This window comes from Homo sapiens, chromosome 4 (genome assembly GCF_000001405.40).
Source record: "Homo sapiens chromosome 4, GRCh38.p14 Primary Assembly".
Classification (NCBI taxonomy): Eukaryota; Metazoa; Chordata; class Mammalia; order Primates; family Hominidae; genus Homo; species Homo sapiens.
Genome location: NC_000004.12, coordinates 39,200,518 through 39,217,429, shown reverse-complemented (window position 1 = coordinate 39,217,429; position 16,912 = coordinate 39,200,518). Strand labels below are relative to the sequence as shown.

General features: G+C 36.2%; 1 protein-coding gene across 10 annotated transcripts in view; it reads right to left on the bottom strand.

The window, feature by feature from the left end:
* The window catches only part of WDR19 (WD repeat domain 19), a 103,282-nt gene that overhangs the window by 68,381 nt on the left and 17,989 nt on the right, over window positions 1-16,912 (bottom strand). For all 10 annotated transcript variants that reach the window (XM_011513724.2, NM_025132.4, NM_001317924.2 and 7 more), the window contains 7 exons: window positions 13,708-13,788; window positions 12,164-12,276; window positions 11,694-11,867; window positions 2,759-2,829; window positions 1,417-1,589; window positions 1,220-1,334; window positions 190-296 (listed from right to left, as the gene is read on the bottom strand). In XM_011513724.2, the coding sequence (XP_011512026.1) occupies window positions 190-296; window positions 1,220-1,334; window positions 1,417-1,589; window positions 2,759-2,829; window positions 11,694-11,867; window positions 12,164-12,276; window positions 13,708-13,788 (834 nt within the window). The remainder of the gene's footprint in view (window positions 1-189; window positions 297-1,219; window positions 1,335-1,416; window positions 1,590-2,758; window positions 2,830-11,693; window positions 11,868-12,163; window positions 12,277-13,707; window positions 13,789-16,912) is intronic.

Genomic DNA, 16,912 nt, shown 5'->3' with positions numbered 1-16,912 from the left:
GGGGAACAGGGTTAGAAAGTCAACAGAACTTCTAATATAGAAGGGGAAGGGTTTTGTTAATCCTTTACTCACACTTGGCTTTCTAGTTAGTCTGTACATCCTTGCTTCCTGACCAATATTCTTGATAATCAGACATTAGGCTGTTCATTATAACTTAGCGCGTCTCCAGGACATCAAAATTATACTTACCAAATGTAACTGGACTTTGCCTTCAAAAAGTGCAGCAGCATAGTCAGAATGAAGGCAAATACTGGCTACTGTTCCCAGATACTCCATATCTTTCAATTTTTTCACAGCTGTAGCAATTTTTAAAAACCAACACATTAAAATGTTGGTAAAACTATCTCATACCTACTTGCAAATAATTTTAAAAGGTGTGCTTTTGCAAAAATATTCTGAACTTAAAATTTCATTTTAATCTTAAATGATTAAATAATTAAATTGAATCTTAAAGATTAAATTTCATTTTAATCTTAGTTGCCATATAAATTTGCCTTCAGGCATTCCATTATGGTTTACCTGAAACAAAGTAATAGAAAATAAAATTATATGCAAAACAATTAAAGAATTAAACCTTAAGTTGCAAGAAACTTAATGGTATTTCCTGTTTAACAGGTTAATTTTCAGGTTTGTTCTATTCCTGAGGGTTATCTGACCTAGAATTGGGGAAAGGTGATGGGGAGGAGGCAGGGGAAGAAAAAACAAAACAAGGTTTTCCTCACATGCTAATAGCTATTATTCAAAGAATAAAAGGGGAGACAGAACTAACATTTATTAAGTACCCACTAGGTTTAAGAGTGCTTAAAAAAAGTCACTGTGCCAAGTGAGACCACGCATTTTATTTAATCTTCCTCATGATCCATTAAAAGTAGAAGTATCCTCATTTTCCAGATGAGTAAGGCTCACAAGTGTAAAATGATTTGTCTATAGTCACTTAGCTAACAGAGGCAGAAGGGGAAATTAAATCCAGGGCCTCTCTAATTCTGAAGCTCACATTCTACCCACTATGCTATGCTGCCTTCACTACAAAGGTAAAGAATAAAAGCTTTCTAAAAATTATGCAAATTTTTAGAAGACTTACAAAACCATTTAAGCTAAGAATGAGATATGTGAATAAAAAAGAGTGAAAGACTTGGTCCTAAAAGAAACTTGCAGTGCTTCCCAAATAAGAACAGAAATTATGTGCTAGATAAGAATAAACAACTGGATTTAGACTTGCCATTTTCTCCAAGGACATAAAACCAAGCTCGATTATTCATTCCTACAGCCAGATGATAAAGACCTACTGCCACAAAGTTGGGTTCCACATCAACAGAAACTGTGATTGGTAGCTCCTATAATAAAGAAAATAGTAATAAATCAACGGCTAAACTTATTTTATTAATAAATAAAAGAAAAATAACACCATTTTCATACTCCTTCAACAGGGTTGGCTACGGTGACTTCAAGGAGGGAGGTGAGATAGGCAATCCTTGTGCTGCAGGCATCCCCAAGTATGGGAAGCTTGGTCAGGAAAACATGAAGTGAGCCCCTTTGGGTAGAGAGTGCTAGCAACTGGCCATCATCAGTCCAGGACAAGGTACCCAATCCTGAAATAATCGACAAAATAAATGATTATTCAAAAACAATATATAGTTGCAGGCAGCAAACAAATATTTTCATTTAAGCTACCAGAGACATAACAATTTTCAAATATTTTCCTTACTAGTTTAAGTAGTTTTTTTTTTAGACTAGGAAATTTGCCATGGATTGGCATAAGAATATGAGCACTGGCTCATTCCCTGTGGCTCAAAGGGAAAGTACAGTTATGTGTCACTTAACAACAGGGCTATGTTCTGAGAAATCTGTCATTAGGTGACTTTGTTGTTGTGTGAACATCATAGAGTGTACTTACACAAACCTAGATCAAATAGCCTACTACGTACCTAGGCTATATGGTATAGCCTATTGCTCCTAGGCTATAAGCCTGTATGGCATGTTACTGTACTGAACACTGCAGGCAAATGTAACACAGCAGTAAGTACTTGCACATTGAATCATATCTAAATATAGAAAATGTACAGTAAGCCTGAGCAACAAAACAAGACGCTGTCTCAAAAAAAAAGAAAGAAAGAAAGAAAGAAAGAAACAAAGAAAAGGTAGTAAATATGGACCATGTATGTGGACTGAAACGTCATTATGTGGGTCATGACTGTATATAAGAATTTATACTTTACATTAGAATTAGGATAAAATTCACTATAAATCTCTGGATCAAAGTAGACATATCTTTCTAGTCAAGCAGTATGACAACATAATTACTAAAATAAGGAGACTATTTTAGGGAACTCTAGTGAAGAGTATTAAAATTTATTTCTGGCCAGGCACAGTGGCTCACGCCTATAATCCCAGTACTTTGGGAGGCCAAGGCAGGCGGATCACCTGAGGTCAGCAGTTCGAGACCAGCCTGGCCAACATGGTGAAACCCCATCTCTACTAAAAATACAAAAATTAGCTGGGCGTGGTGGCACGTGCCTGTAATCCCAGCTACTTGGGAGGCTGAGGCAGGAGAATAGCTTGAGCCTGGGAGGTGGAGGTTGCAGTGAGCAGAGATCATGCCATTGCATTCCATCCAGGGCTACAAAACAAGAATCCATCTCAAAAAAAAAAAAAAAAATTATTCCTCCTACAACGAATGCAAATCACACGATAACAAACACAACCTTACTCTCTGTAACTGGAATGATAAAATGTCAATCTGCTTCAGAAAAATCAATACCTTTATTTTCCTCATCCAGGTTGAGTATAACATACATGTCTTTTAAGTCAACCAAGTCTTGGATTTTAATGCTGAAAAACAAAAATGCATTATTAAAAAATATATATGATCTTTATATAAAACTGTTTTAATTCACAAAAAATTACAAACCATGGAATAGGTTACTGGTCTCCAAAATGTGATGTACAGAATGATCTACTGGGTTAAGAAAATATTAGAATTTCTGTACTTCATTATATTTTATCTTTAAACTTTTGGGTTTGTTGTTGTTGTTTGTTTGCTTACTGTGTGCAGAGATGGGGGGCGGGTAGGGTTGTGCCTGGCTTAATCTCTGATCTATAGCTTCAGGAATAAGGAGGTTAAAATTGTCCTGAAGAAATTTGGGTACGAAAATATTCTCCTGAGTAGTATTAATTATTGTAAGATGATACAGGTTTCTCTTTACAATGTGTTCCCTTTCTCCCCTGCCCAGAGTTCTTTCATACAAAAGGAAGTGAATTATAGTATAGAAAGAACATTAAATTTGGATCAGAAGGATCAGGTTGAAAGCTCTGAAAAATGCGGGCATAACATTATTTCATAAGGTTGTAGTAAGAATAAGTAAGTTGATGTAAATGAAAGTTGTGTAGTACAATGTTGGGAACTAATAGTTGTAACATTTCTTTCCTCCTAACCTCCTTTTCTCCTTCTCTTCTCTTCCAGTGTTTTCCTCTTACCTTTTTTCCCTCATTATTTTCATTTAATTAAACTTTTAAGATAATTTCAGATTCACAGGTAGTTGTAAGAGGCAATATAGAGAGATAGAGAGATTCCATGTCCCCTTTTCTCCCAATAGTAACATCTTGAAACACTATAGTATAATACCACAATCAGGATACTGACATTGATAGAAACCACAAATCTTATTCCGACGTCCCTAGTTTTACTTGTACTTAGTGTGTGTGTTTACTTGTACTCAGTGTGTGTGTTTAGTAACTTTCTCACACATGAGATTCATGAGACTCACAACCATAGTCAGGATATAGATAGTTCCATGACCACAAGGATCTCTCATGTTGCCTTTTTATAAACACTCACCTCCTTCCTTCTGACCCCAGCTCCATCTCTAACCTCTGGGAATCACTAATCTGTTCTTTGTTTTTATAATTCTATCTCTTCAAGAACATTATATAAATGAAATCATATAATATGCAACCTGTTGAGACTGGCTTTTTTCCATTCAGTGCAATCCTTTGGAAATTCATTCAAGTTGTTGGGTGTATCAATAGGTTGTTCCTTTTTATTGTTGAGTAGTGTTCTATGGCATGGATGAACCATTCACCCACTGAAGGACATCTGGATTGTTTCCAGTATTTGGCTATTACAAATAAAGTTGCTATAAACATTCATATACAGGTTTTTATCTGAATGTAGGTGTTCATTTCTCTGGAATAAATGGCCAGATGTGTAACTGCTGGATCATATGGTAATTGCATGTCCAGTTTTTTAAGAAACTGCCAAACTGTTTTCCAGAGTAGCTGTACCATGATGCATTCCCACCAGCAATGTATGAGTAATCCAGTTTCTCCTCATCCTTACCCACATTTGGTGTTATCACTATTTTTCATTTTAGTCATTCTAATAGATGGGTAGTAATAGCTAATAGTGGTTTTAATTAGCACTTCCCTAATGGCTAATCATGTTGAGTATCTTTTCATGTATTTGTTATTATTTGGTGAAATCTATGTCTTTTGCCTATTTTCTAATAGGGTTGTTTGCTTTTTTTACTGTTGGGTTTTTGTTTAATGGTAACTATATAAGTAAATGTATTATTTTCGTGTTGTATAAATTGATATGTAAATAGATAATTGACATTTAAACAAAAAAAGTATCAACATAGTGTTGGGTTGATAACATATACAGATGTTAAACATATGACATACTGTTGGGTCTTGAGAGTCCTTTACATATTCTAGATACTAGCCCTTTGTTGGATACGTGGTTTGCAAATATTTTCTCATTTTGCAGCTTATCTTTTCATCTTATTTATTTGTTTATTTATTTTCAGAGTCAAGGTTTCACCACATTGGCCAGGTTGGTCTCAAACTCCTGACCTCAGGTGATGTGCCTCCCTTGGCCTCCCAAAGTGCCGGAATTACAGATGTGAGGCACCGCGTCCGGCCATCTTTTCATCTTTAACAGAGTACTTCACAAAGCAAAAGTTTTAAATTTTGATGAAATCTACTTTATCAATTTTTCCTTTTATAGATCGTACTTTTGGTTTCAAGTCTAAGAATTCTTTGCCTAACCCTAGATCCAAAAGATATCCTCCTATGTTTTATATTTTATATTTAAGTCCATGAGTGAATTTTTTATTAAGGTGTAAGGTTTGTGTCGAAAATTTTTTTTTCATTTGTGGATGTCTAATTGCCCCAGTACCATTTGTTGAAAAGGGTATCTTGCTTTTATTGAATTATTTTTCACCTTTGTCAAAAACCAACTGTGCATATTTGTATGGGTTTATTTCTGTCTTCTCTATTCTGTTCCATTGATTGATATGTCTTTTCCTCTGCCAATGATACATAGTCTTGATGATTGTAGCTAAACAAGTTTTTATATTGGGAAGAATGATTTCTCCCATTTTATTGTTCTTTTTTAAGATTGCTGTTGGCTATTTTAGGATCTGTGCCTATCTACATCTATCTATCTCTCTCTCTCTCTCTCTCTCTCTCTCTCTCTCTCTCTCTCTCTCTCTCTCTCTCTGTCTGTCTATATTAGAACAAGCATGCCTATGCCTACAAAGAAGCATGCTGGGATTTTGATATAAATTTCATTAAACAATAGATCAACCTGGGGGAACTGATATCTTCACTTTGTTGAGCTTTTCAATCTATGAACACAGTATATCTCTCTATTTATTTGGGTCTAATTTGATCTCTTTCATCAGCATTTTATAATTTTCAGCAAAGACACTGTACAGGTTTTGTTAGAGGTATACTTAAGCAGTTCAGTTTCTTTGGAGTGACTGAAAATGGTATTGGTTTTCATTTTTGTTTTCATTGTTAATGTTCATTGTTAGTATATAGAAATGTGATTAATTTTTGTGTGTTGATCTTATATCCTACAATCTTGCTCAACTCATTTATTAGTTTTAGTTCTAGGAGTTGCTTTTTTGCAGAAAAATAAACTAAAACTCATTTATTAGTTTTAGTTCCAGGAGTTGCTTTTATGCAGAAAATTCCAAGATTTTTATGTAGAAAATCCCAAGATGATCATGACATCTGCAAATAGAGATAGTTTTCCTTCTTCCTTTCTAATCTGAGTGCCGTGTATTTCTTTTTCTTGCCTATTGCAGTGGCTGGAACTTCTAATGCTAGGTTGAGTAAGAGTAATGAGAGCAGATATTCTTGTCTTGTTCCTAATCTTAAGGGACGAGCATTCCGTCTTTCACCATTAAGCATGATATTAGATGTAGGTTTTTTGTAGTTGTTCTTTTTTTTTTGAGACAGGGTTTCACTCTTTTGCCCAGGCTGGGGTGCAGTGGCACGATCACAGCTCACTGCAGCCTCAACCTCCCAGGCTCAAGTGATCCTCCCACCTCAGCCTCCCAAGTTGCTGGGACTACAGGAAATGACCACAGCTCACTGCAGCCTCAACCTCCCAGGCTCAAGTGATTCTCCCACCTCAGCCTCCCAAGTTGCTTGGACTACAGGTAACTTGTAGAGATGGGGTCTCGCCATATTGCCCAGGCTGGTCTTGAACTCTTGGGCTCAAGTGATTCTCCCGCCTTGGCCTCCCAAGGTGCTGGGATTACAGGTGTGAGCCACTGTGCCTGGCCTATATTGTTCTTTATCAAATTGAGGTAATTACCTGCTATTCCTAACTTGCTGAGAGTTTTTATCATGAAGGTGTGCTGGACTTTGTGCAATGCTTTTTCTGTGTCAATTGATGTGATTATATATACGGTTTGTCTTTTTTAGCTTCTGATAGAATGATTACATTTTTTTTGTTTTCTTTTTGAGACAGGGTCTTGCTCTGTTGCTCAGGCTAGGGTGCAGTGATGCAACTGCAGCTCACTGCAACCTCAAACTCCTTGGCTCAGCAATCCTCCCACCTCAGCTTCCTGAGTAGCTAGGAATACAGGCACATGCCGCCATGCCTGGCTATTTTGTTTTAGAGATGGGGTCTCGCTATATTGCCCAGGCTGGTCTCGAACTCCTAGCTTCAGGTGATCCTCCTGGCTCAGCCTCCCAAAGCGCTGGGATTACAGCAGCCATGTGCCACTGCACCTGACATAGATTACACTGATTTTTAAATATTGAACCATTTGATATTTTCAGTATCTGAAATAAATCACACTTGGTCATGAAGTATAATTCTTTTTATACATTGCTACATTCAGTTTGTTAAATTTTGTTGAGAATTTTCATGCTCAAGTTTATGAGAGATATTGACCTGTACTTTTTCTTTTTTAATACACTGTCTTTGTTTGGTCTTGGTATAAAGGTAATACTAGCCTTATAAAATAAGTTGAAGTGTTCTCTACTCTTTATTTTCTAGAAGAGATTTTTAAAAAATTGGTATTAATCCTTTCTCAAGTGTTTGGCAGAATTCTTCAATGAAACCATACAGGCCTTGAGATTTATTTTTTGGGAGCATTTAAATCACTAATTCCATTTTATTGTAGTTATAGGGCTAATCCAGATGATCTGTTTTCATTTGGGTTGAGTTTTGGTAGTTTGCAGTTTTCAAAGAATTGTCCCATTTCTTCTAGGTTGTCAAATTTTGAGTGTAAAATTGTTTGTAGTATTCCTTTATTATTCTCATAATGGCTTTCAGATGGATACTCCTGTTTCATTCTTGATATTGGTGATTTGTTGTGTCTATTCTCTTATTTTTGTCAGGCTTGTTAGAAGCGTATCAATTTTATTTTCTTCAAAGAACCAGCTTCTTGTTTAATTGATTTTTTTTTTTTTTTTTTGAGACAGAGTCTCGCTCTGTCACTGAGGCTGGAGTGCAATGGTGCGAACTTGGCTCACAGCAACCTCTGCCTCCTGGGTTCAAGCGATTCTCCTGCCTCAGCCTCCCGAGTAGCTGGGATTATAGGCATGCACCACCATGCCCGGCTAGTTTTGTATTTTTAGTAGAGACAGGGTTTCTCCATGTTGGTCAGGCTGATATTTAAAATTTTCTCATTTTCCATTTCACAATTTTCTTTTTATTATATTCTTCCTTTTGCTTTATGTTTATCTTGCTCCTTTTTTCAGTGTCTTGAGGTAGAAACTTAGATTACTGATTTGAGGCCCTTTTTCCCCCTAATGTAAACATTTAGTGCTATAAATTTTCTTCTAGGCTGCTTTAGCTGCCTCCCACGTATTTTGATATATTTTCATTTTCATTCAGTTCTATGTATTTTTTAATTGCTTTGGGGCTCTAGGACCCATGAATTATTTAGAAATATGTTGTTTAATTTCCAAGTGTTTGCAGGTTTTCCTGCTGTTACTGACTTCTAGTTTGATTCCATTATGGTCAGAGAACATATTTTATATGATTCAATTTAAATTTGCTGAAGTTTGTTTCATGAGCCAGGGTAGTCTATTGTGGTGAATGTTCCACAGGCACTTGAAAAAAATGTGAATTTTGTTGCTGCTGGGTGCAGTGTTCTATTAGGTTTAGTTGGTTTATAGTGCTGACCTAGTCTTTTATATCCTTGTTGACCTTCTGCGTAGTTGGTTCTATACATTACAGTTGTCCCTCAGTATCCCAAGAGGATTGGGTTCCAGGATCCCTCTGTGGATACCAAAATCCACAGATGCTCAAGTCCATTATATAAATGATGTTGTATTTGCATATAACCTATACACATCCTCCCATATACTTTCAGTCATCTTTAGGTCACTTACAGTACCTAATACAAGGTTAAATGCTGTGCCAAGTTCAAACATATCAATGTAAATGATGGCTAGAGTAGCTATCTTCTGGTTAGCATTTGTATGGTCTTTTTCTATCCTTTTACATGGTTATATCATTATATTTGAAGTGAATTTCTTACAATGACCCTTTTAATAGGGTCATTAAAAATACATTCTAGGCTGGGCGTGGTGGCTCACACCTGTAATCCCACCATTTTGGGAGGCTAAGGCGGGTGGATCACTTGAGGTCAGTTCGAAACCAGCCTGCCAACATGGTACAACCCCGTCTCTACTAAAAATACAAAAATTAGCCAGGCATGGTGGTGCACACCTGTAATCCCAGCTACTTGGGAGGCTGAGGTAGGAGAATCACTTGAACTTGGGAGGCGGAGGTTGCAGTGAGCCAAGATCATGCCACTGCACTCCAGCCTGGGCAACAGAGTGAGACTCTGTCTCAAAAAAAAAAAAAAAAAAAAATCCACTCAGTCTATGTCTAATAAGTTTTTCACTTACATTTAATGGGCTGACATGTTTGAATTGAAGTCTACTGCTTTATTATTTGCTTTCTATTTGTTCTCTCTTTTATTTGTTTTTATTCCTGTTTCTTTCCTTTGTTTAGATTTGAACATTTTTTAGTATTCCATTTTAATTTATCTATTGTGCTTTTGTATATTTCTTTGAATAGTTTTCTTAGAGGTTGCTCTAGATTATAATATACATATTTAAGTTTTCATAGTCTACTTAGAATCAATATTTTGCCATTTCAAGTGGAATGTAGAAGTCTTATCGCATACAAAAACTTTTACCCTCTCTCCCCTTTATAGTATAGTTGTCTTATATATTGCATTTTCATGCATTAAACACCCTACTGAGCAATATTATAATTTTTTTTTTAAACCATCACATATACGTTAAAGATCTCAAAAGAAAAATGTCTATTATATTTACCCGGATATTTACCATTTCTGTTGCTCTTCCTTCATTCTTAATGTCCCAAATTTCCTTCTGTTCTCAGTTCTCTTCTATCTGAAGAACTTCCTTCAGCAGTTCTTTTAGAGAGCAAGATAGTCTCTTCATTTTCCTTCATCTAAAAATGCTTTTATTTCACTTTCATTTACTGACATACATTGTCACCGGATAAAGAATTTCAGTTGACAATGCTTTTATTTTAGCACTTTAAGAATATTGTGGCATTTCCTTCTAGCCTCAATGCTTTACGGTGAGAAAATCCACTGTCATTCAAAATGTTGCTCTCTGGCTGCTTTCAAGATTTTTTCTTTGTCTTTATTTTTCAACAGTTTGATTATGATGTGAATAGCTCTAGATTTCTTCTGGTTTATCCTTTTGGGGACTTGCTGAGCTTCTACAATATGCACGTTTATGTCTTTTGCCATAAAGTTTCCAGCCATTATTTTTGGGATTCCGAAGACACAAATACTAGACCTTTTGTTACTGTCTAATAGGTCTCTGGGACAAATAATTTTGTTTCATTTTTTTCTTCCATGTTCAGATTGGATATTTTCTAATGATCTCTCTTCAAGTTCACTGACTCTTTATTTTCTCCATTTGCTACTAAGTCTATCAAATTTATTGCATTTTATAGTTCTAAAATTTCCATTTGGTTCTTCTTTATTGGTTCTATTTCTTTTCTGAGACTTTCTAGTTTTCCATTTGTTTCAAGAGCATTAGCCCTTACCTCTTGGAGCATTTCTATATCTGCTATCTGCATAATCTTGGCATTGGTGTTTTTTTATTGTTATTTCCTGAGCGAGTTAAAATTCTCCTAATTCTTCATATGTCAAGTAATTTGGGGTTCTATTCTGGACCTTGTGAAATTATGAGATTGTGTCTAATCTAAATCCCATGGAGAAGGTTAATATTTTTGTTTCAGCAGGCCATCAACCTGGCTGGGTTCAGGCCACAAGTTTCAAGGAGCCTTCTGTAGCTGACGGTTTCAATGTCAGTTCTATTTTCAACGCCTTTGCAGTGGTATTCAGATATGTCCCTCTATGGCCCACTCAGTGGCTAGTATAAGACCTTGGCTATGATCTATGTCTCAGTTCAGTTCACAGGGTCTTTGGTATATGTTTAGGATAAGTCTATACATATGCGCTTAAGGATGAACCCAGGAGTTCATAAATATCTTTACAGGGTTGCTTTCCTGAGTTCCTTCCTCCCTATGATCAATCTAGTACTTTCCAATCCCTAGGTCTCCTAATTTTGGTCCTCTATTAATGCTTGATCTCTAGTTACTCTGTTCTACCACATAATTCCCACACTGTATGAGCACTTGTGACCAAGGGAGGACAGAGAGAAAAATAGGCAATAGTGGTTTGCCCTATCTTCTTGAAGCCACAGCCTCTAATTGGAGAGAAGATTATCCTCCATCAGAGTTTTAGGTGCCTGTGGGTCCTTGGTGCCACTGTTCTTGTTGCCACTGCCATGGGGAGACTGCTTGGTGGCTGGAGCATTAGAGAACAAAGAACAAAAAAAGAAAAAGAAAACCAGGGGATTTCCCCAACTGCCTTTGAGCATTATAAGTTCTCTTTCCTGCAACTTAAGCCAGAACCAGAGAGTTTCCTTAAAGCTCTCTCTGTGCTTTGGTGCCTACTTCTAGGTTTCAGACTTCCTTGAGTCCTGGCTGTGAGACAGCAGAGGACAAGTGGGAGACTCCCCACTGGTTAGTTGGCACTTCAAATTCCGTCTTCTTTTCCAATCTGCCTGCTACCATTTACTTTTCAGAGTCCTTAAATATCTGCTCCATGCATTCTGTTCACGTTTTATAGCTGTACTCAGTGGGAGACATGGGGTGGAGTGTGCTTACTCCATGTTACCCAGAACTACCTATTTTATTTTTAAGATTGATTTTCAACTATACTTTGTTTTATATTTTTGCCCTGAATATTAAAATCAGGAGCAAAGTAGTCTTAGACGTTTTAAATTGTAAACATGATTGCCAGATTCATATTAGCTAACAAAGTTTGGCTGATTCACTTAAGTATTTACTATATAAGCTTTCCTAAAAATATGTGAAAATAACTTACCAGTTATCTCCACATGTAGCAACTTTGTTAAGAGTCTGTGATACTGCAATGCTGGTTAGATTATCTTTATGGTTACGAGCCTGAAATATCTCTTGACCAAGCTCTCCAGTATGAGTAGAAATGACCACAAAATGTCCACATGAAAAACCAATCATGATGCGGCCATCACCATACCTATAGCAAAGAAGGCAACAATATGGTAAACAAGGAGATTAGCTATCAGTGGCAACATGGTAAATTAGCAAGTACCTTAAAATTAAGGAATTATAGAATATAATTTATCAAGGGCCTACTTTGTGTCAGATAATATACTAGGTAGTTTTGCATACTAAATCACAGACCATGAATCAGAAAATGTGACGTATAGAATTGAATGTTACAAACAAAAATTGAATACAATTAGTAAGGAAAAACCTACAGATGTCCTTCTGTAATGAGCTTTTTGTACATACCAGTTATAGCAGACATACCAATTATAGCAGACAATGTTGCCAAAGTCCTGCTGAAATTCAAGATCAGCTGGGTTATCTGGTTCATTCAGATTTAAAAAAAACAAAGTTTTCTTGCCAAGCACCACACTTATCTGCCAGAAAAGATTAGGAGATTGTGAAATGAGTTACTTAGTACTTCATGAAAAGACCATTAAGCAAATCCAACAGCTGAACCTAATTTGTGAAAATAATAAGCCCAATTTAGATGTGCTAAATGCTGTAACTAGTACAATATGACTAAAAATGTATTTACTAATATATAAACTGGTAAGCGTCCTTGGTTTTACACATCTTCAATATACCCTTTGAAATATACTACAATTCCTTTGTGGAGTGTCCATTTAAATTTTCTATACCTTTCATTAGAGTACTGCACACTACAGGATTGTAAGTCTGACAGTTCCACTGCAAATGAATTCATATTTAGATTATAAAGACTCTTCCACTCTAAGAGGCTGTTCTGCTCTTGAGCCATTTGGGATTATAGGTCCACACTCCTGTGGATACTCCAGCTTGGCTTTTATATCATCATTGGTTCCATCACCTGCAGGTCAGTGTTGGCTAAACTAGTGTCTCTTTGCTACTCATGCAAGTAAATTCTTAAGTGTAATTCCCAGTGGAGGATGTAATTATGTTGGGGAGAAAAAAGTACATTACTTATTTGGGCTCATTATCATGTATTTCCTTAATTATAAGATGCTCTCAATTGTAAGTCACTATCAATTTAATAGGTTTTTAGGAAACAAAGAACTACTACTTTATTAAATATATTCATATTGATTGTGAAAATCATACTGATTTCAGAATGTTAAGATGTGGCAGGGAAGATGCATCTAAGTATTAACCAAAAGCTACAACTTTGGCCGGGTGCGGTGGCTCACGCCTGTAATCCCAGCACTTTGGGAGGCCGAGGGAGGTGGATCACCTGAGATCGGGAGTTTGAGACCAGCCTGACCAACATGGAGAAACCCCATCTCTACTAAAAATACAAAATTAGCTGGGTGTCGTGGCGCATGCCTGTAATCACAGCTACTAGGGAGGCTGAGGCAGGAGAATCGCTTGAACCTAGGAGGTGGAGGTTGCGGTGAGCTGAGATTGCACCACTGCACTCCAGCCTGGATAAAAAGAGCAAAACTCTGTCTCAAAAAAAAAACAAACAAAAAAAAACAAGCCTACAACTTCAAGAGGTCTGCTAACCACATCTCATAGAGTAAAAATTTTAAAAATAATATATGAATTAATACTTCTGTTCTGCAAGGTACCCCTAATGTTTTTGCTATCACAAGAATGAAAAGAGCAATACCAATTGTAACAGAAAGCTGTCCTCATTTGCTGTAATGCCAGGTAGTCAGTAGCAATTACAACAACTTTTAGGGACTAAAAGACCTAGCTCTACCTTGGCTTAAAATACAGTCAATGGACCTAATTTATTTATCACTATTTTAGTCATCCAAGAAAAGTAAATTATACATTCCACAAAATTACCCAAATGATTTGCACGTGGATTTGATTAGAATTCTTACCATGCTTTCAGCAGCAGAGGTTCGGTCATCCATCTTCATCAAGAAAAACTGCATGTTGCTAGGCTCTGATCTCACTTGTGTCTAAAGGAGTAAAAACATCATCACTATGAACAAACCCAATATTTAAATTCATTCTGAATATTAATAGAATGGATAACTTGTTTTCATTCCTGACTAATGTTGGACTAAGAACCTGAAAATCCTACTGTCACAAATATCTAGAAATTCTAGATGAAACAGAAAATATATCTTATTAAATAGATAAATAAGCTTGAAAGAAGAAAAGGGAAATTTACAGGGACCATCAGCAAAGATCACACTAAAACCAGAGTGTGTGCAGAAACTGATGCTGCAGCTATCCAGAGCAGCTAGCTATGGGAGACAATAAGGAAATCCATTTGTTTTGGCTTGAGTGTTGAGTCAGACAAAACAAAGTTCATTTCAATAATTTAATTAAAGGATGGGTGCGGTGGCTCATATCTGTAATCTCAGTACTTTGGGAGGCTGAGGTGGGAGGATCGCTTGAGCCCAGGAGCTTGAGGCTGCAGTGAGCTATGATCATGCCACTGCACTTCAGAGCAAGACCCTGTCTCAAAAAAAAAAAAAAAAAGAAAGAAAAAGAAAAAGGAAAAAGGATTTAATTAAAGACCTCCCTTCCTATTCTCATTATAGTCTGAGGTTCAAATGTGTATGTTAGGTCATTTGGTAGCTCCCAAGATGAGAAATTAACATAAAATATGGAAGGATCCAGGCTCATACTATCCCTGCAGTTTTGGAAAAAACTAACCCAGAACCTCTACCAAGGTTTTAAAAAATTTCCACACATAAACTTTGCTAAAGATGAGCTCATAATTCAAAATTACAAAACTCGTAAAGAAACAATGCATCAAGAGAAGGAGTTAGCAGATATAAAAATAATAGAATTATCAGAGAGAGAAATTATAAAATAAATATTTTAAAAATGACTAAAGCTGTAAAAGAACTCATAAATATGAGAAAAGAATTTTTTAAGTTCAGGCAGTTTTTTTTTTAAGTGCATATGTACTTTTGTATTATAGGAGGTGTATCTGAAGGGTAGAACCCTAGAAATGGTATTGTTAGGTCAAAAAGTACATACAGATGTAGTTTTGTTAGCTATTTCCAAATTTTCCTCCAGAAGGGACATACTAATTTTATCTACAGTTTCACCAACAGAATATGTTGTCATATTTTATATAATTTTGCCACCCTGATAGGTGAAAAATGGTATTTCAGTGTGGCTTTAATTTGTAGTTATTTAATTATGAGTAACTTTGAAATTTTTTTCATATGTATGAGAGCCATTTTTTATACATTTTTGTGTGAACTGTCTATTCATGTATTTCAAGTGGATTTTTAAAAGAACTACAAAGTACTTTCTAAAAACGAGGCGTCATTAAAATAAAAAAACTCAATGTATACACAGATGATTAGACAAATTTGAAGAAAGAATATGTGAACTAATATGAGGAAATCATCCAAAAGGTTGCAGAGTGATAAAAAGATAAAACTATGAAGAGGAGAGATTAAGAGACATAAGAAGGTCCAACAGCTATCTAACAGACGCTCCTGAAAAACAGAATAGAAAGGGCAAGAAGTAATATTCAAAGAGATAATGACTATGAATTTTCCTGAATTGACAAAGGATAACAATCTTCAGATTCAGGAAGCAAGACAAATCCTGAGCAGGATAAATAAAAATAAATCCATACAAGTAACACCATAGTGATCTTCAGAATGCCAAAGTTAAAACAATTAAGAAAAAACACAAAACAAAGCAACACTTATAATGTATATTTTGCTTACTACATGACAGCTTAAGTAGTATGTCTAATTTTGGAAGCAGACTTCTTAAGGATTAGAAATGAAAAACAGTTATCTTATATGTAAATAATGGCTGAATTGTAGTGACTTCCTGGAATGCTATACGGAAAAAATATTCTAAGGCCATATTTTTATTCAGTGGAGGGAAAAAAAATCCACTATCTATTGGTAATGTCTGATATGGACACAAGAGAGGGGAGCTGTAGCATTTATACCATATTTACCATTCTATTTCTAAAGGGCATTGAAAATAGAATGATTAAAACAGATACAGGAATCGACTTTCTTCTTCAGCCCTATTTTCTAAAAATGCCCAATCAAAACCTCTATCTTCAGTTAGTCCAGGCTTGAACAACTCAGGAACAAGCTGTAGTTTTTCCTTGCTGTTCTGCTTGTACTGAATGAGTAAATGTTTTGCACTATCTACTAAAATAAGTTTTAGCAAGGTACATAGTCATCTAGCTGGACTAAAATTGCAGCTTTCCTGGGAGCAGGTAGATTTGGCCACATGACTAGGTTCTAGTCATATGATATGAAGGGAAATAATAAATGCATCTTGCAGATCAAGTCCTTTACAAATTTCTTACACTCTATTTCTTCTCTTTGTCCTTTCCCTGGAGCTGAAATGCAGATGTGATCCTGGTACACTAGCTTCAATCATGCAGATGAGGGTACAATACTCTAGAAAATGGCAGAGCAATAAGATGGAAGGAACCTGAGACTCGGTACAATTTAGTGAAGCAGAGGTACGTAGGTGACTTTGTCTCTCTGTTACATGAGAAAAAGAGAGAGGAAACCCCCGACCCCAACCCATACTATCATATTCTTCCGGCCCCTGAAGTTTTAGGACTCTCTGACCCAACAGTTTAGTCTATACCCTGACTGATTCAGATAGCCTTCTATCTTTGAGAGACTCACAATCAAACTTTCATTGATCTCCTCTATCTCCCAAATGTTATAGGACAGGTAATTTGTACCACAAAATATGGCAATTAATCAATAAGGCCATGTGTGTTTTATAATATTACTAATGTCTTCTTAAGAGTGGGGCCCTACGATCAGCAGCCTGTAAGATGGCCCACAATGATCCCCACTTTCTGGTTTTATGCCTGTGTGGTCCCCATCCCTGCCCTACTTTTTGTGGGCTATACCTTGTAGTTCACTTCTAAAGAACAAAATATGGCAAAAGTGATTCTGTGATTAGGTTATAAAGAGATGCAGCTTCAGTCTTGAATGGCTGCTCTCACTCTCTCACCAGCTGCTGTGTTGTGAGGCACTCTATGGAGAGATCCATGTGGCAAGGAAGTGAGGAAGGCTTCCAGTGAATAGCTAGAGAGAAACTGAAGCCCTGAATATAACAATC